Raw genomic sequence first — 24,544 nt, forward strand, 5'->3', positions numbered from 1 at the left:
TTTTTTTTGAGATGGGTCTTGCTCTGTCACCAGGCTGGAGTGCAGTGGCGTGATCTTGGCTCACTGCAACCTCTGCCTCCTGGGTTCAAGCAATTCTCATGCCTCAGCCTCCCAAGTAGCTGGGATTACAAGCACACGCCACCATGCCCAGCTAATTTTTTTGTATTTTTAGTAGAAACAGGGTTTCACCATATTGGTCAGACTGGTTTCGAACTCCTGACCTTGTGATCTGCCCGCCTTGACCTCCCAGAGTGTTGGTATTACAGGTGTGAGCCACCATGCCCGGCGTATTTCTTTTTTTTGAGATGGAGTCTCGCCCTATTGCCTAGGCCGGAGTACAGTGGTGCGATCTCGGCTCACTGCAACCTCCGCCTCCTGGGTTCAAGCGATTCTCCTGCCTCAGCTTCCTGAGTAGCTGGGATTACAGGCACCTGCCACCACGCCTGGCTAATTTTTGTATTTTTAGTAGAAATGTGGTTTCACCATGCTGGCCAGGCTGGTCTTGAACTCCCGACCTCAGGCGATCCACCTGCCTTGGCCTCCCAAAGTGCTGGGATTACAGGAGTGAACCACCGCACCTGACCCTGTTTCTCGTTTTTATGGGCGTTGAGGGTAGCAAACATTGGCTGATAGAACCAGGGTTCAAAATCATCTCAGTTGACTGGAATGCTGCCATTAAGTAGAAAGATGAAGTTTAAAAATATTTCTCTCTTAAAATTAATATATGTACATTGTAGGAACCCTGGAAAATAAAGAAAGGCATAAAGGAAAAAAATGATACATAATACTATAATTCGGGTGGGCTGGTATTTCGGTGAATGTCCTTCCAAATTTGTGTTCATGCAAATCTATATATTTTAACATAATTGCAATTATACTCTATCCCGTTTTTTTCCCTACTGAATGCTATCTAATGGGTAATAGTGCATGTCATAAAAAATACTTAAAACCATAATTTTAAGGATCCAAGTAACATTGCATTCTATGACTATACTATATTTAACTATGCCCTACTGACTTTAAAACATTGTTTTTAGTTTTTAGCTTTTAAAAATTACTTGACATTGAGCAATGTTGAACATATACTTATCTCAAGAAGAAATGTAATAGGTCTAAGTGTAACATCCTGCATTTAAGTTCAAAGCATCAATTATGTAAGTCTAGAATAGAGTGGGACTTACTCTTCATTCATGTTGAGGGAAAAGGCTTGGGGTTTTGGGCTGAAAAACGAAGGAAGAGGGAAATGAACATTTTAATGCCTGTTAGGTGCTAGACCATTATTCTAGACATTTCTGCCTTCATCATCTCATTTCATCCTCTCAGCCCTGTGAGAAAGGTTTGGTTTGTTTTTGTTTTGTTTTTCAACCTCTACTTTACAGAGGGGACACTGTAGAAGTTATACTGCAGTTGGAGTTTGGACCCAGGTCAATCTGACTCTCAAACTGCCCCATTAAACCATAAGCCTGTGTGGGCCAGTGCTGTGGTAAGGTCTGTGTCAAGGGAAACCTTTACTCACTAAGCTCTGTGACCCTCTGGCCACATTGGAAGCCACATCTGGTTTTGGAAAGTTTATATATCCTGAGCTGTTAAGTATTGAGCTCGCCATTTTTGTGGGTCTTCCTCTACCCCCAACCAGTGATCTGATCTCAAACATGTGGGTCTTTTTTTTTTTTTTTTTTTTGAGACGGAGTTTCGCTCTTGTTGCTCAGGTTGGAGTGCAATGGCGTGATCTCGACTCACCGCAGCCTCCACCTTCCGGGTTCAAGCGATTCTCCTGCCACAGCCTCCTGAGTAGCTGGAATTACGGGCATTTGCCACCATGCCTGGCTAATTTTGTATTTTTAGTAAAGATAGGGTTTTTCCATGTTGGCCAGGCTGGTCTCGAACTCCCGACCTCAGGTGATCTGCCCACCTCGGCCTCCCAAAGTGCTGGGATTACAGGTGTGAGCCACCGCGCCCGGCCTTTTTTTTTTTTTTTTTTTTTTTTTTTGTGAGACAGGGTCTTAACTCTGTCACCCAGGCTAGAGTGCAGCGTTGCAATCACAGCTCACTGTGGCCTCAACCTCCCGCGCCCAAGTGATCCTCCCACCTCAGCTTTCTCAGCTACTCAGGTCTCAGTAGCTGGGACCACAGGTGATGCCATGCCCGCCTAACATTTTTTTTGTTTTAATTTTTATTTTTCATAGAGACAGGATCTTGCTGTGTTTCCCAGGCTGGTGTTTTTTTTGTTTTGTTTTGTTTTAATAGATAGGATCTTGCTCTGTTGCCCAGGCTGGAGTGCAGTGGTGTGATCATAGCTCACTGTAGCCTCAAACTCCTGCACTCAGATGGTCCTCCTGCCTCAGTCTCCCAAGTAGCTGGGATGACAGGTTTGTGCCACCATGCCCTGCCAATTTTTAAAACTTTTTGTAGAAACAAGGTCTTGCTATCTTTATTTTGCCCAGGCTGGTCTTAAACTCCTCGCCTCAAGCGATCCTCCAGCTTCAGCCTCCCAAAGTGCTGGGATTACAGGTATGAGCCACTGTGCTGGGCCTGTGAGTGTCTTAACAGAGGCTGGATGAGGACTTAGAACCTGCCCAGCATCTGGGTGCTGTCATTTCTCATTTCTAGAAGGTAGGCACCCTTTACAGCAGTAGCAGGTTAGGTCCATCTGACCTGAAGTCTATTACTTCATTATGTAAAACCACATAAAACTAGTGGGCCCTCTGTATCTGTAGGTTCCACATGGATTCGACCCACCCTGGATCGACAGTGTTCAGGGGAAAACATTCCACAGAGTTCCAGAAAGCAAAACTTGAATTTGCTGCTCACTGAATGCTGCATTGAATCCATGCAAATGAAGTGATGTGCATGCGTTGTGTTAGGTATGATAAGTTCTCTAGAAATGATTTAAAGCACATGGGAGGATGTGCGTAAGTTATGTGCAAACACTGTACCGTTTTATATGAGGGACTTGAGCATCCTCGGGTTTCAGTATCCTTAGAGGCCTTGGAACCGATCACCCACAGATACCAAAGGACTACTGTACATAGAGTTTCATTATGTAGAACTTACTAGGGATGCTTTGGAGGAGTCTCTGCCCTGCATGGGAAAGGACTAGGTCACCTCCAGGGCCACTGCTTCCTCGAAGATTTTGTGGTCCTGGGCCTCAGTTTCTCCACATATCAGCATGCGGGGATTCCACTAGATGAAACACTTCGGGATTCCTGCTACAGGGAGGTAGTACAGCGAAGCTGCACCTGGAGTTGGAGGCAAGGCTTGGGACGAGGGTGCAGTGTCTGAGCAGTCAGAGGAAGCAGAATGGGGAGATGAGGGAATTATTGCGTGGCTGCCATCGTCTTTGTCCAAACAAGCACGGTGTTAGGAACAGGCGGAATCTGGGTCTTGCCCTGAGGCTGGAGGGTGGGGAAGATGACCCCCCACAACCCCAGAGAGCAGTGGCTATCAGTGCAGACTCCAGAGTGGTGCTGTCCAATAGAAATACTATGTAAGCCTAGGAGTTACATTTAAAAAGTAAAAAGAGCTGGGTGTGGTGGCTTTTGCCCATGGTCCCAGTTACTCAGGAGGCTGAGGCGGGAGAGTTGCTTGAGCCCAGGGGTTTGAGACCAGCCTGGGCAACATAGCGAGAACCCTGCCTCTAAAAAAAAGAAAGGAAAACTTAACTGGTAAAATGCATTGTAATAATATATTCTTTAACCTATGACTACAATATTATCATTTTAACGTAATCAATAGTAAAAAGTATCAATGAGATAGTTTACCTTCTTTCCACACAAAGCGCTAGAACCGTAGTGTGTATTGTACACTTAACAACACGTCTCAATTTGGACTAACAACGTTTCTTGTGTTCAGTAACCACGTGGGGCGAGTGGTCGTGGTTGGCACAGTGTGGCTTTCCAGCCAGCCCGCCTGGGTTTGAATCTCTGTTCTGCCACTTAACACCTGGGTGGGATAATAAGGTTAATAGAACCAACCTCATACGGTGTATGTGAAGACTAAATGAGTTAATATCTGTAAAGTGCTTAGTTCTTTCCCCGGCACATAATAACCACTGTGTAAGTGTTTGTCAAATAAATGACCTATAAATGGTTCTTAAAAACTGTCGAAGCTGGAATTTGTAAGAGGTAGGGGGTCGATGATGTGTGTGGAAAAACCCAATCGTAGAGTGGCCCTGTGGAGTTACTGATAGTCCACGTTTGTACTGTGGTAGTTCTCCATAATGAAATGGACTTCAGATCCGAAGATCCTAATCTACTCTTTGCTGTGAAGAGCACCTGCCTTCTGGAAGTGAGAAATGACAGCATCCTGATGACAAGACAGGTTCCCATCCCTCGGCAGGTGCATCCTGAGCATCTGTCTGCCTGGGGCTTGAACTGTGCCGGGTGGCATGCAGGAAGCAAAAGCATCCTCGGAAATGCTCCGTCGTAAATTGCATGACCTCATGTTGGAATGAGAGGTGGGGTCACTTCCAGCACTTGGAGGTTGAAGCAATAGTTGCTGCTTATGCAAGAGAAGAAGTAAGCTGTACCAGTGCCTCCCATACCTCCTCAGGGCACTGCCAGCCCAGCACAGCCAGCTCTCCTCTCTTGGCATCAGCTCCCTCCGACTGCACCTGCCCTCACCCAATCCACAGCAGCCACAGCACCCACGGTGTGCCCGGCACTGTGCTAGGTGCAGCGGGAGTATGGAACGGAAGCCCTGGTTCCTGTCCTCATGGAACTTGCAGGGAAATGGACTGTGAAGCTAGCAGTAACATACTGCAAGACGAAAGAACGTGCACAAGCAGGGTCTGTGGCAGTGCCTGGTAAAGGATGATTGATTCTGTCCCAAGAGGAGGAGGCAGTTGAGCTGGCTTTGAGAGTGGGTGGGGTTCTGACAAGCGTGTATATGTGTAAGAGAGAGGGAAGCAGACAGAGAGGAAGAGAAACAGAACTATCCTTGAGAAGACAGAGAAAATGTGATTTGAGGGCTATTGTCATGAAGTGATGAGAGGAGGGGAGGTAAGTGGGTTTTGTTTTTTGCGGGTTTTATTTTTATTTTTATTTTATTTTATTTTATCTTATTTATTTTTTTGACAGAGTCTCGCTCTGTCGCCCAGGCTGGAGTGCTGTGGTGCGATCTCGGCTCACTGCAAGCTCCGCCTCCCGGGTTCATGCCATTCTCCCGCCTCAGCCTCCTGAGTAGCTGGGACTACAGGCACCCCCCACCACACCTGGCTAATTTTTTGTATTTTTAGTAGAGACGGGGTTTCACCATGTTAGCCAGGATGGTCTCGATCTCCTGACCTCATGATCTGCCCGCCACGGCCTCCCAAAGTGCTGGGATTACAGGCATGAGCCACCCCGCCTGGCTGTGGGTTTTATTTTTATATCCTTTTTTTTTTCTTTCTTTCTTTTTTTTTTTTTTTTGAGGTGAAGTTTCACTCTATCACCCAGGCTGGAGTGCAGTGGCGCGATCACAGCTCACTGCAACCTCCGCCTCCCGGGTTCAAGTGATTCTCCTGCCTCAGCCTCCCAAATAGTTGAGATTACAGGCACGTGTCATGATGCCCGGCTATTTTTTGCATTTTCAGTAGGGATGGGGTTTTGCCATGTTGGTCAGGCTGGTCTCGAACTCCTGACCTCAAGTGATCCCCTGGCTTCAGCCTCCCAAAGTGCTGGGATTACAGGCGTGAGCCACAGAGTCTCACTCTGCCACCCAGGCTGGAGTGTGGTGGTGTGATCACAGCTCCCTTCAGCCTTGAGCTCCTGGGTTCAAGCAATCCTCCTGCCTCAGCCTCCTGAGTAGCTGGGACCACAGACATGTGCCACCACACCTGGCTAATTTTTAAAACATTATTTCTAGAGATAGGATCTCACTGTGTTGCCCAGGCTGGTCTCAAACTCCTGGGCTCAAGCCATCCTCCCGTCTCGGACCCTCAAAGTGCTTGGATTACGGGTGTGAGCCACCATACCCGGCCAAGTGGGTTTTATGAACAGGGTGGGTTTGAGCTAGGCCCTCTGGGCAGGATAAGAAGGTCTTATTTTACGTTCATTTTTTACGTTTATTTAGACTCAGGCAGCATGTCTCTTTTTTTTTTTTTTTTTTTTTTTTTGAGACAGAGTTTTGCTTTTGTTGCCCAGGCTGGAGTGCAATGGTGCAATCTCGGCTCACTGCAACCTCCGCCTCCTGGGTTCAAGTAATTCTCCTGCCTCAGCCTCCCAAGTAGCTGGGATTACAGGCATGCGCCACCATACTCCGCTAATTTTTTGTATTTTTAGTAGAGACAGGGTTTCTCCATGTTGGTCAGGTTGGTCTCGAACTCCTGACCTCAGGTGATCCGCCCGCCTCGGCCTCCCAAAGTGCTGGGATTACAGGCGTGAGCCACCGCGCCTGTAGAAAAACATCTCATCCTATAAAATAGAGTGAATCTTTCCCTAAATTTATTTTTAACATACATACAGCAAAATACAGTGTTTTTGGTAAGTAGTAGATGTTGACAAATGCACAGAATGTGTTTTCACCGCCACCATCAAGGTAAAGACTGTTCCATCCCCCAAACGATTCCATCCATGCATTGGCCCCTTGGAGGTCATCCCTCCCCCTTCCCCTCTTGGCATCCCCTGGCCACGCTGATCTGTTCATTCCTATAATTTTGCCTTTCAAGAATGTCTCACAAATGGAATCATGCAGTTACATAGCTCTTTGGGTCTTTGCTTCTTTCACTCAGCAAGGTCATAGCTCACTGCAGCCTTGACCACCCAGGCTCAAGTGTCCCTCCCACCTCAGCCTCTTGAGTAGTGGAGACCACAGGCACACGCCACCACGCCCGGCTCATTTTTGTACTTTTTGTAGAGATGAGGTTTCGCCATGTTGCCTAGGCTGGTCTTGAACTCCTGGCTCAAGCAGTCCACCCGCCTCGCCTCCCACAGTTGTGGGTGTGTGCCACCATGCCCAGCTGTTGTTCTGAGAGTTCTTTCATATTCTGGATACAGGTTCTTTGTCAGGACAGTCAGATATGTGATTTACAGATGTTTGGAGGAAATTAGTTTATGGAGAAAATCTTCACAAGATGATGGGAGTGAGGAACTCTGAAAGTGAGGTGAGAGTTTGGTGTCCTGAGCTGTGGCCTTTCTCACAGTGCAAGATGGGACCAGGAATGAGGAGTGGGGTACACCTAGAGAATGACATGAAAAAGAGGAGTCACGGGGCCTTCCAAGAAGCTCTGTTCCTGGCGTAGAGCATGGTTCAGAATGAGAGGCACAGGTGGGAATTTTGGTTTGCCGGGCATCCTTCCTGCCTGGCGGGCTGCACCTGGTCTGCAGCTAATGGCCTGCTGGGTCAGGCCGGGCTGGCCCCATCCAGAAAAACAAATGTTCATGTCCAGCCTGCATTTCAACCACTTCCATGGCCTTGTTTCCAAACCGGATGATCGTGCCTTCTGGAATGGGAGGCGCGGTAACTGGCAGGCCTGCAGGAGTAAGGTGCTGGGTGTGTGGCTGGTGCAAGACAGAATCAGTGGGGGTGAGTTTTCTGGGTCAGGGTGGGTCCTCTGGGATGGTAACCTCAGCCTAGGGTCTGAGTGAAGGCTTCCAGCTATTGTTTTTTCTTTTTTCTTTTTTCTGAGACGGAGTCTCACTCTGTCGCCCAGACCGGAGTGTAGTGTCACGATCTTGGCTCACTGCAGCCTCTGTCTCCCAGGTTTTCAAGGTGCCTTAGCCTCCCGAGTAGCTGGAATTACAGGCTTGAGCCACCACGCCTGGCTAATTTTTGTATTTTTAGTAGAGATGGGAGTCTCGCCATGTTGGCCAGGTTGGTCTCGAACTGTTGACCTCAGGTGATCCACCTGCCTCGGCCTCCCAAAGTGCTGGGATTACAGGCGTAAGCCACCGTGCCCGGCCAGCTTTGAGCTGTTAACAGAATGTCTGAAACATCATAATCTTCCTTCCTATCCCTGACCAGGCAGGGTGGCTCTGGGACAGAAGACTTACATGAAAAATGACCAAGGCCAGGATGGATGCCGCCTCCCACCTCTTGTCCAAGCTCATTCTAACCCCGCCTGCTCCTATGTCCTCAGAGCCATGGCCCAGTCCAGAGGCTCGAGTCTTCATTCTTCCCCCTGGGGGTGCAGATGCTTTTCCAGAGGTGCTTAGGGCGTAGGGCTGGAGAGTAGGGCAGAGCTGGAGTCCTACTTTCCCGGAGCTCCTAGTGCCCCACTGCCTCCAGGATGTCCTGTGGCTCCCTGAGGCTCTGGGTCCTGGAAGGCATTCCCCGGTGTGGAGACTCCCTCTTCTGCCTGGCTCCTCCTTCTCCCAGGGCAGGGCGTGCACCGAGGCCCCACCCCAGATGCCCGTGCTGCTTGGACACCTGGTTTGGGCTGACCCTCGGGTTCTGACAGGGTGGGATCCTCCTGCCTGACTTTGAGAGCAGCTGATTGAGGGCAAACCCACCCCCGAGGCTGAGGAAACAAGTGTGCTGGCTTTGACGGAATTCCAGGGCAAGTGCTTCTGTTAGTCACTCCCGGGCTAAATCTATTAATATTTTCAGATCTGCATTTTCCTAGGACACGCCTCCTTAAAGTGAAGCCAATTGGTTTGGTTGAGTACTTTTGCCTCTCAAGTACTGTATTTTCATAATTTTTGCTTTTTGCTTTATTTCACTTTTAAAATTTTGTATTTATTTATTTTTTAGTATCCCTGTCATGGCAACTTTTGCTTTATTCTAGAACCCTGAAGAAAGGCCCCGAGGAGAAAAAGTCTCTCAACCCTTAAAACAAACAAACAAAAAAAGACTATAATTTTGAGTAGTTTGGGGTTTATAGAAAACTTGAGCAGAAAGTAGACTTCCCGTAGATACATTCTTGCCCCGCCCCCAGTCAGTTTCTCCTAGTCTTAACATCTTGCATTTGTTGCAATTGATGTACATTTGTTGCAATTAATGAGTCAATATCGGCACATTATTATTATTATTATTATTATTATTATTATTATTATTATTATTACTAGAGATGGAGTCTTGCTCTTGTTGCCCAGGCTGGGGTGCAATGGTGTGATCTCGGCTCATGGCAACCTCTGCCTCCCAGATTCAAGCAATTTTCCTGCCTCAGCCTCTCAAGTAGCTGGGATTACAGGCATGCGCCACCACACCCAGCTAATTTTGTATTTTTAGTAGAGACAGGGTTTCCCCATGTTGGTCAGGCTGGTCTTGAACTCCTGACCTCAGGTGATCTGCCCACCTCGGCCTCCCAAAGTGCTGGGATTACAGGCATGAGCCACCGTGCCCAGCCAGCACATTATTAGAGTCCATAGTTCACATTAGGGTCCCTTCTTGGTGTTGTCCACTCTGGGTTTTGGCACATGGGTAATAATGTGTACCCACCATTACAGTATCATGCAGAATAGCATCACCGTTCCCCAAATCCTCCAGGTTCCGTTTATTCATCCCTCCTTCCCACTTCTGGCAACCATTGATCTTTTGACTGTCCCTGTAGTTTTGCCTTTTCTAGAATGTCATATGGTTGGAATCATACACTATGTGGCCTTTTCAGATTGGCGTCTCTCACTAAGTAATACGCATTTGAGTTTCCTCCATGTCTTTTCATAGCTCATTTTTTTTTTTTTTTGAGACAAAGTCTTGCTCTGTCACCCAGGCTGGAGTGCAGTGGCATGATCTTGGCTCACTGCAACTTCTGCCTCCTGGGTTCAAGTGATTCTCCTGCCTCAGCCTCCCGAGTAGCTGGGACTACAGGCACGTGCCACCATGCCCGGCTAATTTTTATATTTTTAGTAGACACACCATTTTGTGTTCCACCAAGACGCCGGGCTGGTCTTGAATTCCTGACCTCAGATGATCTGCCCACCTCGGCCTCCCAAAGTGCTGGGATTACAGGCGTGAACCTCCACACCTGGCCATCTCATTTCTTTTTTTTTTTTTCTGAATAGTATTACACCCTGCCCCCTCCCAACCTTTTGTTTTTGCAAATGGAGGCACTGAGGCCCAGAGAGGGGAAGTGACTGGCTCAAGAGGCACCACGAACCTGTGGCAAAGCTGCGCTTGGAGGCTAATTTGCCTTCCTCTGGGTACCTGTTTCCAGGGGCCTCTGGGCCGGGCGCTGTTCTGGAACTAAACCTGTATCATCACAGCTTTGTCCAGAGGCTGAGGGGAGGCCAGGGGGCAAGGCCTCTGTTCACCACTTGCCTTGACCCACTTCCTGCATGTGTTGGGTGGGGCCTGCAGATACCCACGCCCCTGACGCCGAAGGGGTTGGGGGTGGGGTTCCCAGCTTCCACCTCCCTGAGAGCTGAGGAGATGGGATGCTGGGTCCAGGCTGAGAGCTGAGGAGATGGGATGCTGGGTCCAGGCAAGTACTCGCCACCCCATTGCCGCCCGGGCCTGGGGGCTGGGTGGGAAGAGACTGCTTGGGTTGGGCCTGGGCTGGGGCCTGCAGCATTTAGGAATCTTATCTCCCTCTGTTGCTCTCTGAGCTGCCCCTCCCACTGGAGACTCCTCCCAGCTGGCCTGCATCCCAGGCCATCTCCATTTACTTAATTTACCTCCCCTCTTGCTAGCCTGCAGGCCTCCTGCTCCTTCCTCTCTGTCCCGCCCTCCATCATCCCTCCTGATGACTACAGGGCAATGACCGTGAATCACGTGCAAGGAGCCCCTTTTTGGGCCAGGCTCTGTGCTCATGGACATGATGGAATTCAATCCTCACAGCCGTTATTTGGGGAGATTGAGATTGCACTGGTGCCTCTTCAGTGGTTGGGAGGACACTGAGGATTAGAGTAGCTTGCTCAGGACTCCCAGGTCCCTGTGAGGCTGGGCCAGGATCTGAGCTCAGGCGTCTTGAGTCCAGAGCCCAAACGCTAAATCTCTGCCCCAGGCGTCTCTCTCTCTCTTTCTCTTTCTCCCCTTCCTGCTCTCTCTCCCTTTCCCCCTTCCCTTCTTTTTCCTCTCTCTTTTGACCAGGCATTGCTCAAGGGGTCCAGCTCTCTGACTTTTGTTCCAACATCTCCTTAGCCTGGGAAGGATTGTGGGGCCTCCCCCCCTCTCACCTGCTCCCCGTTCCCCATCCTGTCCTGAAGCCAGGTGTGATGAAGGCCTCACACCAAAGGATGGCCGGGAAGGTGCTGCCGTGCATTGCCTTGCAGGGGCTTTACTTGCTTTTCTCAATCCTCAGTGGCTCTGCAGGCAGGAATGCTCATCCCCATTTGACAGGTGATGAAACAGAAGCTTTGGGGAGGTTCAGTAAGTTGCTGAACAGCTGTGCAACGTAGCTGGTGAGAGGCAGGTTTCACTCAGGTCATAGGACTCTGAGGCGTCTTTAACATGTCCCGGACTTCACGTGGCCTTTCCCGAGAACTTGTTGCATTTCAGGAGAGGAAGGGGCACTGCTCAGCAAGAGGAAGGCACTCCAGTGGTGGGAGCTCAGGCCCTGGGACACCTAGGTTTTCTTGGTCTTGTTTTCTGAGAAGGGCCCTTTTTTGGCCTCCGGCAGGCCCTGGCCCTTCCGAAATCACAATGGGATCTGTTTGTTTCTAACTGAGTACACAGCCTGGCCCGGCCCAGCCCAACCAAATCCATTTCTCTGCTGGGTTCTTTCCTTCTCCACCAATCCCTTTCCTTCCATCCCTCGGGACTCACCTGCCTGTGACCTGGGGACTCTCCTGTCCTTCTCTTTTCTTTTCCAGCTGTAACCAGGCCCTTTCCTTTGCTCCTGTATTTCGGGCCCAGGTCCCCTGCAGACCCTCTTTTCCTTCTCTGCCCTCTTCTTTTTGTCTTCTATCTCCTGGTGCGCTTTAAACAATTTTTTTGGTGAAATATATGTAACATAAAATTTGCCATTTGAACTCCAAGTGTGCAGTTTGGTGGCATTAAGGACATTCACAATTGTGCTGCAGTCTCCTGCTTCCATCTCCAGAACTTTTTCATCTTCCGAAACTGAAACGCTGTACCCGTTAAACAGTAAGTGCCTGTTTTTTTTTTTTGTCTTTTTGTTTTTTTTTGTTTTGTTTTGTTTTGAGAGGGAGTCTCACTTTACTCACTTTATTGCCCAGGCTGGAGTGCAGTGGTGCGATCTTGGCTCGCTGCCTCCGGGGTTCAAGTGATTTTTGTGCCTCAGCCTCCTAAGTAGCTGGGACTATAGGCCTGCGCCACCGCCCCTGGCTAATTTTTGTATTTTTTAGTAGAGACAGGTTTCACCATGTTGGCCAGGCTGGTCTCGAACTCCTGACCTCAGGTGATCCACCTGCCTCGGCCTCCCAGAGTGCTGGGATTACGGGTGTGAACCACTGCGCCTGACAATGACTGTTAATGTTATGAATGAAACTCCCCATTCCCCCATCCCCAACCCCTGATAGTCTCTCTTCGGCTGTCTCTATGGATTTGCATATTCTCAGTACTTCATGGAAGTGAAATAACATGAGATTTGTCCTTTCATGACTGGCTTGTTTCACTTAGTGCAATGTCCTTAAGGTTCATCCATGTTGTAGCCTATGTCAGAATTTCATGCCTTTTTTGTTTGTTTGTTTTGGAGATGGAGTCTCACTCTGTTGCCCAGGCTGGAGTGCAGTAGTGTGATCTCAGCTCACTGCAACCTCCGCCTCCCTGGTTCAAGCGATTCTTGTGCCTCAACCTCCCGAGTAGCTGGGATTACAGGCACCTGCCACCATGCCCGGCTAATTTTTGTATTTTTAGTAGAGACAGGGTTTCACATTGTTGGCCAGGCTGGTCTCGAGCTCCCGACCTCAGGTGATCTGCCTGCCTCGGCCTCCCAAAGTGCTGGGATTACAGGCGTGAGCCACCGCGCCCGGTCTCATTCCTTTTTAAGGTCGAATCATCCTCCATTACCTGGATGCACCACATTTTGTTTATCCATTCCTCTATTGATGGACATTTGGGCTGCTTCCCCTTTTGACTATCCTGGTGCCTTTTGACATTCTGTGCTCAGGAACAGCAGACAGCACTTCCGCACTATGCTTGGGACCACTTGAGGCAGCAAAAGCACCTGCAAAAGTGCAGAAGTCACAGCACTAAATAGACCCAGAACAAGACACCTGCAGGAGAGCTGACCCAGGTAGACGAAGTGCGGCGTTGCCGACCTCAGCTGGGAGCGTGCGCGTCAGGCAGTGAGAATTTGTGGCTGCTCAGTGCACGCATGTGTCCACAAATGACTGTGAAGATACTGGGAGTAGTGATTTGGGGGTTAGAAATTTTAGCAAGTTGGCAAACTTGCAAGTACAAAATCTGTGACTATTCTGTGATTAATGAGGATTGACTGTACTTGCATCTTCATAGATGACTCTCCCTCCTTCCCTCCTGAGATGACAGCATTAATCCATTCAGCAAGGCCCAATCACATCTTAAAGGCTCCATCTCCCAACATTCTTGTGTTGGGGATTAAGTTTTTAACCCACGAACTTTGAGGGGCACGTTCATACCAGAGCAGCGCCCAATGCCTGTCATATAGTACATGCCCAGTGAACAGTGAGTGAATGAAGGGCACAAGGACTGAAGTACCTGTGCTGAGTTGTTAGGCATGAGAATCAGCAGGGAGAGATCTTTCTGGCAGGGGAGCCTGTTCCTCTCCTCCCTGGGAAGAAGCCCTCTCCTGTGCTCACTGAGAGGCATCCAGTGATGGTCATGGAGGTTGGAATTGTGTGGCAGAAAAGTGCAGGCCTGAGATGTAGTTCTAGTCCCAGTTTTAACAGGTTTTGTGGTCTTTGGCAAGTCAGTTCACCTCTCAGGGCCTTAGTCTCCTCACTTATACATTGGAGGGCAGTTTTCTTCCCCGAGATTCTTTCCACACAAACCCTGGGAACCCTGCCTCTCTCCGCTGGGACCTTCACTGGAGGCCGTAGGAACAGTGGGGTCCATGCAACGAAAGAGACCAAGAGGTCTTCGTGTCTGCAGAGATGAACTTCTCTAGCTCCCTTAGCCTGCCAATCCAGGCTACCCCTCCCTCCAACTCTGCACATCTAACTTGCATCCCTCGTGCTGCAGAGTCAGATCATCCCCCTTCCTATTGTCAACAGAAGTGTTTGCAAAATAGGCTGGATGTGGTGGCTTACGCCTGTAATCCCAGCACTTTGGGAGGCCGAGACGGGCGGATCACTTGAGGACAGGAGCTCGAGACCAGTCTGGCCAACATGGTGAAACCCCACCTCTACTAAAAAAACAAAAATTAGCTGGGCATGGTGGTGCACGCCTGTAATTCCAGCTACTCAGGAGGCTGAGGCAGGAGAATCTCTTGAACCTAGGAGGCTGAGATTGCAGTGAGTCCATATCGCTCCACTGTACTCCAGCCTGGGTGACAGAGCAAGACTCTGTCTCAATTAAAAAAAAAAAAAGTTGGCAAAATAGGTCAAAGAAGCATCATGGCCAGGCGCAGTGACTCACGCCTGTAATCCCAGCAGTTTGGGAGGGCGAGGCGGGCAGATGTCTGAGGTCAAGAGCGAAACTCCATCTCAAGAAAAAAGCAGCATCATGATGGGCAGGAGGCAGCTTGCAGTGGGGAAGGGCTTCAGAGCCGCAGTCTGAGCCTTGTCTCTTACTGGCTTTGGGCTGGGACACAGCACTTCACCTTAGGAGCCTCAGCATCTTCACCTGCCAAATGGGGCAGTGCAGCTACCTCAAGGGGATGGGGGCAGGATTGGAGGAAGATGTAGTCAAGTGCTTTGCCCAGTGCCTGATGCAGAGTGGGCATTTGAAACTGGCACCTCCTAGTGTTAAAGTAGTAAAACGTGTGTCCCTCAGTGTCCAGGGCACCTCTTTGACACTCAGCCCTCCCACAAGTGCTGGGCTGCCTGTATCCGTCCTGCAGGGTCGCCTGCCCAGTGCACAGGGGCTTGCACTGTGTGAGGAGGCAGCACAGCCCACCCGGCACTACCTGCAGGATAGGTTCTTCTTTCCCGCCCAGGTCCCCTGGCCTCCTCCCTTTGTCTTCCAGCTCCTGAGTTTCCAAGCTTAGTTAGCGTGGAAGACAGCAGACAACTGACTGGCCAGAGTAGCACAGCACATTCAGGCAATCAGTGTAGCAGCTCAGGGGCCTCTGGGAACTGGGGCTCAGGGAACCCTTCAGGGTAGAGGGGGCCTCTCACTGCACCCGCTTGTGCCCTGTACCTACCTCCACCCAAGCCTCTGACACTCCATAGCACTTACCTGTTTGCATGTCTGTCTAGTCTCCCATCCCCATCTGAAGTCTGAGCCCCATGAAGGTCTGGACCCTTTTCTCTAGAGTTTAGTCCAAGAACAGGTACTTCAAGTAAAGAGTTAGTTGATGGACTGTTGGCAGGAATTAAATTAGTACTGAGGCCCACCCTAAGCAGGGAAGCAGTATGAACAGACTTGGGGCTCAGGAGATGGTGAGAAGCCCAGGGGTGCTGGAGGGTAGTGGGGATGCACCTGGAAGAAGGCTGGGGTCTGCTGCTCCTCTTTCACCTGTCTCATTTTAAGAGATGATTTCTCTTAAAATGAAGAGACTTCTCCATTTCTTATTTTGAGAGATGAAGCCCAGTGACCCCCAAAATCAGGGTGTTTTCTTCTGAATTCTCTGTCTCAGCTCTAGAGGCTGGAGGAGTTGTGAGGGGCTTAGGGATCACAGTGGCTGCAGAAGGCTCTGAAAGGAGGGCTCTGGGAGCGTGAGATGGATCGGACTAGGGAGAGGACGTCAGGTTGGCCTGGGGTCTGGTTCTGCCTTTTCTCGGGGCAGGTCCTTTGCCCTCCCTGAGGCTTGGACTCTCCATTTGGAACTTAGCATCCTGATTCCCTTCCTGTCCTGAAAGTGTTTTTGGAGGAGCTTACTGTTCTGAGTATTAGGGAGATCTTAATAAAAGCCCATACATTCCTGATCCTTCTGGAAATTCCTGAGTAATTAGCACCTGTGGGCCCTAGGATGGAGCAACCTGCTGTCTTCTGGGGTTGCCCTGGGGGCTACCCTGTAGCTTTTGGTTGGGGCTGAGGCAGAGTAGAGGCTCCTGGGCTGGGCCCTGAGAACCAAGTCTGGGATTATTTTTACTCTTCTGTTCACAGCGCATGGCCCAGCTCCACGATGCCATCTGTCCCCCGCCTCCAGCTCTCCCCTGGCAGGCCCTCCTGGGTCACTGTGGTGCACTTGGGGAAGGAGGAGGAGGCTGGTGCTGGCTTACCCCATTCCATGAGCCGCAGGGCAGGGCGGTGCGTGGGAGGTTTGCCTGGTGGCAGGAGGCAGCTGCCAGCCCCGGGATGTGGGCCGCGGGCAGATAGGAGAAGCTCGCCAGTGACGGCTGTGAACCTGGAGCACCAGGGACACGTGGGGCTGGGAGCAACCCCATTTCGGTAACAAACCCTGTGGCCCAGGGCCTTGGATGACCTGCTGCCCTGCTTTTCCTGGGACAGACCCAATCCTAGGGACATGGAGTGCAGGTCCTCAGAAAACCCCACTCGTGGGGCAGGGTCTGGCATTAGGAGTCTTTGGTTCTCCCCAGGTGTGTGTTCTGCTGGGCTGCCCTAGGCCCAACTTCTGCAGGGACTGATGGTGCTCACTTCACCAGGCCAGTCCAGCTCAGCTTGGGTGAAGGAAGGGGAATTCTGAGGAGGAGCAGGGCCCAGAGACCATAGAAGGGGTCAGGTGGGGTAAGGGAGGTGGCGGCCCTCCTTTCCGTCTCCTGACATCCTGGCCTCCACCGCACCCTCCACCTGACTCAGGGCATCCATCTGTACTTAGTGTCAGGTCCAGAAGAAAATCTAGGCTACAACCAGGACTTAAGAGGCCTCAGGTATTAAAATGATTAATTAATTAAGTATTAATATTAGGCATTAGGGCTTCAGACTTTCTACTTGGCATTGTTTATGGCTTAGTAACAATGAAGACAATAAGAAATAGCTCTTATGAGCACTGACTGTGTCAGGCCCTACGCTAGATGACATCTCACTATGTCATCTCTCCTGCGGGACAGCCTTCCGGGATGGATCAGTTCCCCAGCCTTCTGAGCAGAGCCACACATGAAAGTCTGCAAGGTACTTCTAGAGGCCACTGGAGACTTCTGGGATCTGGGGAGGGAGTGTGAACCACAGATACTGCTAGCACAGAAAGGACCCTGGATCCCAAGGAGGGCATCCTTCTTGTTTTACAGATAAGCAAAATGAGGCCCAGAAAAATGAGAGGTGGTTTGTCTGTGGTTGTGTAGTTGGTGGTAGAACTGGAACCAAAGCCAGGCTCTTGCTTCCCATACATCACACTTCCATTCTACAAGCCTCCAAAATAAGCCCCAAAGGGATTTATGCACAATTCAAGCTCTTTTTCTGGTATGCCAAAATCCAGACATTTCCTGAGGTTTCTTTTGTTTCCCAAAACTAAGCACAGAGCAATCTGTTCTCCCCACAGAGAAATCATTATTCCACAATAACACTTAACAAATATCCCTTCGTTTGTTCATTCTGTGTTCATCAGCTCTGTGCAGCGTGCTGAGGACTTACAGAGGAAGACAGCTGTCCCTGTCCCCATGGTGTCTAAAGTGTGGTGGAGACCAGTCCTTACTGGGAGATGGGGGCTGGATATGGAAATGCAGGAATCTGCTAAGGTTGGAGTCATCTTCCCAGAGGGAGTGACATATGGCTGGACCTTAAGGCTGAGCAAGAGTTGGTCCGGTGAACAAGGAATGGAAGGGAAGTTTCAGGTAGCAGCACCTCCACCAGGAGTGGAGAAAGAGCCTAGCATGTTGGGGGGTGATTTGGATGGCTGAGTTTGGGGCTTGGAGGTGGGTTCAAAGAAGGAAGTACAGAGGGTGGTGCCTGTGTGCGGAAGGTATGGCCGGAGAGCAGGGATCAGCAGATGGAAGCGCTAGAAAATCCCATCATGGAGTGTGTAGTGTTATCTTAAGAACAAAGAAAAGGCATTGAAAATTTTTAGGTAGCAGAATCATGTGATCAGGTTTGCATTTTAGAAAAATCACTGGCTGGGGTGAAGAGATTATGGAGCCTGAATGGGGTTGCACCAGGTCATCCAGATGTGCATCGCTGGAAGCTTGGATTAGGGCTGTGAGATAGAGTAGATTCAGGAGACATGTAGGCGACAGAAAGACAGGATGTGGTCATTAGTTAGATGTGGGAGATATTAATAAGAGGGAAAAGTCAAAACAGTCATGTGCTGCTTCACGAAGGGGATGCCTCCTGAGAAATGTGTCTCTTGGCGATTTCATCCTTGTGCAACCATAATAGAGGGTCCTTACACAAACCTAGATGGTATAGCCTACGACACACCCAGGCTGTGTGGTACAACCTATTGCTTCTGGGCTATAAATCTGTACAGCATGTGACTATACTCAGTTCTATAGGCAACTATAACACAGTGGTAACTCTAAGTGTTAGTATTTGTATATCTCAACATTCCTAAACATAGAAAAGGTACAGTGAAAATAAAATATAAAAGATAACAAATGGCACACCTGTATGGGGTACACCATGAATGGAGCTTGCAGGACTGGAAGCTGCTCTGGGTGAGTCAGTGAGTGAATGGTGAGTGAATGTATGCTACTGTAGGCTTGACTGTACACTACTCTACACTAGGACATTACTGATACTACTGTAGACTTTATAAAAACAGATACTTAGGCTACGCTAAATGTATTTAAAATGATTTTTCTTCAAGAATATATTAACTTGGCTTTCTGTAACTTTTTTACTTTATAAACTTCTTAATTTTTTGATTCTTTTATAATAACACTTTAAAACGCAAACACCTCACGCCTGTAATCCCAGCACTTTGGGAGGCCGAGGCGGGTGGATCACGAGGTCAGGAGGTCGAGACCATCCTGGCTAACATGGTGAAACCCTGTCTCTACTAAAAATACAAAAAAACTAGCCAGTCGTGGTGGCAGGCACCTGTAGTCCCAGCTGCTCAGGAGGCTGAGGCAGGAGAATGGCATGAGCCTGGGAGGTGGAGCTTGCAGTGAGCCGAGATTGCGCCACTGTACTCCAGCCTGGGTGACAGAGCAAGACTCTGTCTCAAAAAAAACAAAAAACAAAAAACAAAACCCAAAAACGCAAACACATCGTACAGCTGTACAAAAATATTTTCTTAATTTATATCTTTATTCTATAAGCCTTCTTCTGTTTACAAAATCTTTTTTTTTTTTTTTTTTTTTTGAGACGGAGTCTCATTCTGTCCCCCAGGCTGGAGTGTAGTGGCACGATCTCGGCTCACTGCAACCTCCGCCTCCCGGGTTTAAGCGGTTCTCCTGCCTCAGCCTCCCTAGTAGCTGGGATTATAGGTGCGCACCATCATGCCTGGCTAATTTTTGTATTTTTAGTAGAGACGGGGTTTCAGCATATTGGCCAGGGTGGCCTCGAGCTCCTGACCTCGTGATCCACCTACCTCACCTGTTTTTTTACTTTTTAACTTTGTCGTTAAAAACAGAGACATACCAGCCGGGCGTGGTGGCTCACGCCTGTAATCCCAGCACTTTGGGAGGCCGAGGCGGGTGGATCACTACGTCAGGAGTTCAAGACCAGCCTGGCCAACAGGGCGAAACCCTGTCTCTACTAAAAAAATACAAAAAATTAGCCAGGCATGGCGGCGGTTGCCTGTAATCCCAGCTACTGGGGAGGCTGAGGCGGAGAATTGCTTGAACCCGGGAGGCAGAGGTTGCAGTGAGCTGAGATCGCGTCACTGCATTCCAGCCTGGGGAACAAGAGCAATACTCCATCTCAAAAAAATAAAAACTAAAAAAAAATAATAAAAACAGAGACAAACGCACACATTAGGCCTGCACAGCGTCAGGGTCGTCAGTATCACTGTCTTCCACCTGCATGTCCTGCCCCACTGGAAAGCGTTTGGGGCAGTAACTCGCATGGAGATATCATCTCCCAGGGTAACAGTGTCTTTTTCTGGAATGCCTCCCGAAGGGCCTGCCTGAGGCTGTTTTACAGTAATTTTTTTTTTACAAGTAGAAGGAGTACACTCTAAAATGATGATAAAGGCTGGGTGCGGTGGCTCACGCCTGCAATCCCAGTCCTTTGGGAGGTTGAGACGGGCCAATCACCAGAGGTCAGGAGTTCGAGACCAGCCTGGCCAACATGGTGAAACTCCGTCTCCACTAAAAATACAAAAAAATTAGCCGGGCGTGGTGGTACGTGCCTGTAATCCCAGCTACTCGGGAGGCTGAGTCACGAGAATCGCTTGACCTCAGGAAGCAGAAGGTGCAGTGAGCTGATACTGCACCACTGCACTCCAGCCTGGGTGACAGAGTGAGACTCTGTCTCAAAAAATAAAAAAAAATAAATAAATAAAATAGATATAATAAAAAGAGACGACAAAAAGTATAGTATAGTAAATAGTTAACCAGTAACACAGTTGTTTATTGTCAAGGATTGTGTACTGTACATAATTGTGTGTGCTAGACTTTTACACAACAGACAGCACAAGTAGGTTTGTTTTACACCAGTGCCACCAGACACGTGAGGAATGTGTGGCACTGCCATGGTAGGATGGCTCTGACATCACTAGGCAATAGGAAGTTTTCAGCTCCATTATCATCTTATGGGACCCCCTTTGAATGAACGTTTGGGGCTGACTGAAATTTTGTTATGCAGTGCATGACTGCGTTCCTAGCTTTCTGGTCTCTGTGTGGATAGTGAGTGGTTCATTTCCTGAGAGAGAGCCGAGGAGGTGGAACAGGATATGGGGACAAGCTGAACACTTGGTTTTGGGCATGTTGAGTTTGAGGAGCTCTGGAGATTGATTAGAGATGCCTGGTAGGCAGTTTCTGTGAGGACCTTCACCTCAGGAAAGATACACAGATTTGGGGATTAAACCAATAGAGTGGGAATGCAAGCCTTGGGTGGGGATCCCCCAAGGAGTCTGTTTAGGGTTTAAAAAGAAGAGGTCAGGTCAGAACCCAGGGACACATCTTTATAGAATGAGTCTGGTGAAATATGGAGCCCAGGGAATATGGAGAAAGGAAGCCTGGAGCTGACTTGGAAGACTACAGACTCCTCCTGCTTCTTCCATGTGTTTTCAGAATCAGCTTGTTTTTTTTGTTTGTTTTGTTTTGTTTTGTTTTGTTTTGTTTTTTTGAGACGGAGTCTCACTCTTTCACCCAGGTGGGACTGCAGGGGCGCGATCTCAGCTCACTGCAAGCTCCGCCTCCCGGGTTCACGCCATTCTCCTGCCTCAGCCTCCCGAGTAGCTGGGACTACAGGTGCCCGCCACTGCACCCAGCTAATGTTTTGTATTTTTAGTAGAGACGGGGTTTCACCGTGGTCTCGATCTCCTGACCTCGTGATCCGCCCGCCTCGGCCTCCCAAAGTGCTGGGATTACAGGCCTGAGCCACCGTGCCCAGCCTGGAATCAGCTTGTTAAGCTTTGTGGAAAACTGTGTGGAATTTTTTAAAATCACAATTTCAGGGCCGGGCACGGTGGCTCACACCTGTAATCCCAGCACTTTGGGAGGCTGAGGAGGAGGATCACTTGAGGTCAGGAGTTCAAGACCAGCCTGGCCAACATGGTGAAACCCTGTCTCTACTAAAAATATAAAAATTAGCCAGGCGTGATGGTGGCACATGCCTGTAATCCCAGCTACTTGGGAGGCTGAGGCAGGAGAATCACTTGAGCCTGGGAGGTGGAGGTTGCAGTGAGCTGAGATCACGCCACTGCACTCCAGCCTGGGTGACAGAACAAGACTCCATCTCAAAAAAACAAAAACAAAATAAAATAAAATAAAAAATCACAATTTCATTGAATTTATGATTTATTTGGACAGATTCAACATCTTCATAATATTGTTTTCCCATTCATGAACACAGTTTCTCTCCATTTATTTAGGTATTATGACACTGTGAAATACATACTAGGGGTCTGGCGCGGTGGTTCAGGTCTGTAATCCCAGCACTTTGGGAGGCTGAGGCGGGTGGATCACCTGAGGTCAGGAGTTCCAGACCAGCCTGGCCAACATGGCGAAACCCCGTCCCTACTAAAAATACAAATGCAAAAATTAGCCGGGTGAGGTGGCGGGTGCCTATAATCCCAGCTACTTGGGAGGCTGAGGCAGGAGAATCGCTTGAACCTGGGAGGCAGAGGTTGCAGTGAGCCGAGATTGCGCCACTGCACTCCAGCCTGGGCAAAAAAAGCTCAAAAAAAAAAAAAAAAAAGATATATTGGGACTTCATTCAGTGTCCTGCCATACAACTCCTAAAATCCTTGCAATCTTCAAAACGATGTGTCTTTTTGTATGCTAATGAGTCGATTTAGGGCTTGCAGTCCCTAGGTAGCTTCAGGATGGGACCAGACTCCAGAAAGACAAAGGGCAGGATTAGAGGGGTGGAACTTGCAGCCACACCCTCCAACCTCAGGGAGGCAAGAGGGGCTGAAGGTCAAGTTGATCACCAGTGGCCAATGGTTTAATCAGTCATGCCTATGTAATGAAGCCACCATAGACACCTAGAAGGACTGTGTTCGAGGAGCTTCCAGAAAGCTGAACGGGTGGAGGGACCTGAAGGGTGGCGTACCCAGGAGAGAACATGGAAGCTTCTCGAACCGTCCCACGTGCCTTGCCCTATGCGTCTCTATCCTTTGTGAGATCCTTTAGAATAAGCTGGTAAAGGTAGATAGTGTTTCTCTGAGTTCTGTGAGCTACTATGGCAGGTTAATTGATCCTAAGGAGAGGGTTCTAGGAACCCCACCTATAGCTGGTGGGTCAGAAGCACAGGTAAAACAACCCAGGGCATGGGATTGGCATGGGAAGTCGGGAGGCAGTCCTGTGGAACCGAGCCCCCACCCTGTGGGATCTCCTGGCTTCAAGCAACCCTCCTGCCTCTCGGCCTCCCAAAGTGCTGAGATTATAGGTATGAGCCACCATGCCCAGCCCTGATTTTCTCAATGAGGCTCTTTGATTGGTAAATTCTCTATTATTTTTGTCTAAAAATGCCTCTATTTAATCTTCACTCTTGAATGATTTTTTGTTTGGGTTTTAAATTCAAGATTAACAGATAGTTTCTTTTAACAATTTGGTGATGTTATATTGAGTCTTCTAGTGTTACTGTTACGAAGTTTGCTATCAGTTTGTTGTTATTATTGTTTTTGAGACAGAATCTCCTTCTGTCGCCCAGGCTGGAGTGCAATGGTGCAATATGGGCTCACCGCAACCTCTACCTCCTGGGTTCAAGTGATTCTCATGCCTCAGCCTCCCAAGTAGCTGGGATGACAGGCGCCCACCACCACGCCCAGCTAATTTTTGTATTTTTAGTAGAGACAGGGGTCTCACTATGTTGCCCAGGCTGGTCTCAAACTCCTGGCCTCAAGCCATCCACCTGCCTTGGCCTCCCAAAGTGCTGGGATTACAGGCATGACCCACCACACCAGAAAGAAGTTCAATATCAGTTTAATAGTCCTTCCTTTCTAGATAATCTGCCCTTTTTCACTCTTCATGCTTTTAAGATCTCTGTTTTGGGTATTCTGCAGTGTCCCTACGTTATGTGTTCCTTTTATTTGAATTTATCCTGGTTAGGATTCAGCATGGTTCCTGAATTATTGGAGTCATGTCTTCTATTAATCTGGAAAATTGCCTGCTGTTTTCTCTTCAAATGTTGCTCTACTGTATTTATTTTCTATGTTCTCTTTTTCTGGAATTCTGATGTTGAATTGCCTTATTCTGTTCTCCTTGCTCTTTACTGTCATTTAAAAAATACATCTGGGTAATTTCCTCAGCTCTGTCTTCCAGATTGTTACTTCTTTATCTAGCTGTATCTAAGTTGTTAATCCCAACCATTGGGTTTTTAATTTCAGTGACTAAAATGTTTATTTTTAAATGTTTGATGTAGTTCTTTTTCCAGCCTACTTTGTAGTTTTGATAATATCTTATTCTTTCCCATATTTACAATTCCTTATTTAGGTCAATAATCATTTAAACATAATCTCTTCAGAGATTTTCAGCCTGGGACCACTGTTTATTTTTAAGAATTGGCTAGAGGTTACTAAGCGATATAAAATTCAAATTTCAAATCCATTAAAGGGTAGGCCCTTGGTTACAAATTCTTTTTTTTAAGAATTATTTTTTATATCTAGAATTTAGGCTAAGACAGATAATCTTTTTTTTTTTTTTTTTTTTTTTTTTTGAGATGGAGTCTCTGTTGCCTAGGCTGGAGTGCAGTGGCGTGATCTCAGCTCACTGCAACTCTGCCTCCCAGGTACAAGTCATTCTCTTGCTTCAGCCTCCCGAGTGGCTGGGATTACAGGCGTGTGCCACCATGCCAAGCTAATTTGTGTATTTTTAGTAGAGAAGAGGTTTTGCCATGTTGGCCAGACTGGTCTTGAACAGCTGACCTCAAGTGATCCGTCTGTCTCGGCCTCCCAAAGTACTGGGATTACAGGCATGAGCCACTTCGCCTGGCCCAGAGAACGCCTGGCCCAGAGAATCTTCGCTGTCATATTTTGTCAGTGTTCTACTGGTTCTCTGAGGATTTAGGTATAGTTCCCAGTTTCAGCTTCTCTGCATCTCTTAGGTCTAAGGTCTCATCTCTGAGCAACCATTAAAACCCAGTTGTGACCAGGCATGGTGGCTCACTCCATGGGAGGCCAAGGAGGGAGAATTGC

The 24,544-nt window shown here is 48.6% G+C and overlaps 1 protein-coding gene across 3 annotated transcripts in view, besides 2 other annotated features; it reads left to right on the forward strand.

Moving 5' to 3' along the window:
* Nucleotides 1-24,544, forward strand: part of TEAD4 (TEA domain transcription factor 4) — an 81,280-nt gene that overhangs the window by 7,026 nt on the left and 49,710 nt on the right. The window lies entirely within an intron of this gene.
* Nucleotides 249-748: an enhancer, noted in NCBI's record as "H3K27ac hESC enhancer chr12:3075837-3076336 (GRCh37/hg19 assembly coordinates)". NCBI's record gives its function as "activates a minimal SCP1, AML or CMV promoter by ChIP-STARR-seq in primed H9 embryonic stem cells {active_cell/tissue: H9 hESC(primed)}" and the evidence as "EXISTENCE:reporter gene assay evidence [ECO:0000049][PMID:30033119]".
* Nucleotides 14,608-15,227: an enhancer, noted in NCBI's record as "H3K27ac-H3K4me1 hESC enhancer chr12:3090196-3090815 (GRCh37/hg19 assembly coordinates)". NCBI's record gives its function as "activates a minimal SCP1, AML or CMV promoter by ChIP-STARR-seq in naive H9 embryonic stem cells {active_cell/tissue: H9 hESC(naive)}" and the evidence as "EXISTENCE:reporter gene assay evidence [ECO:0000049][PMID:30033119]".

This window comes from Homo sapiens, chromosome 12 (assembly GCF_000001405.40).
Source record: "Homo sapiens chromosome 12, GRCh38.p14 Primary Assembly".
NCBI lineage: Eukaryota > Metazoa > Chordata > Mammalia > Primates > Hominidae > Homo > Homo sapiens.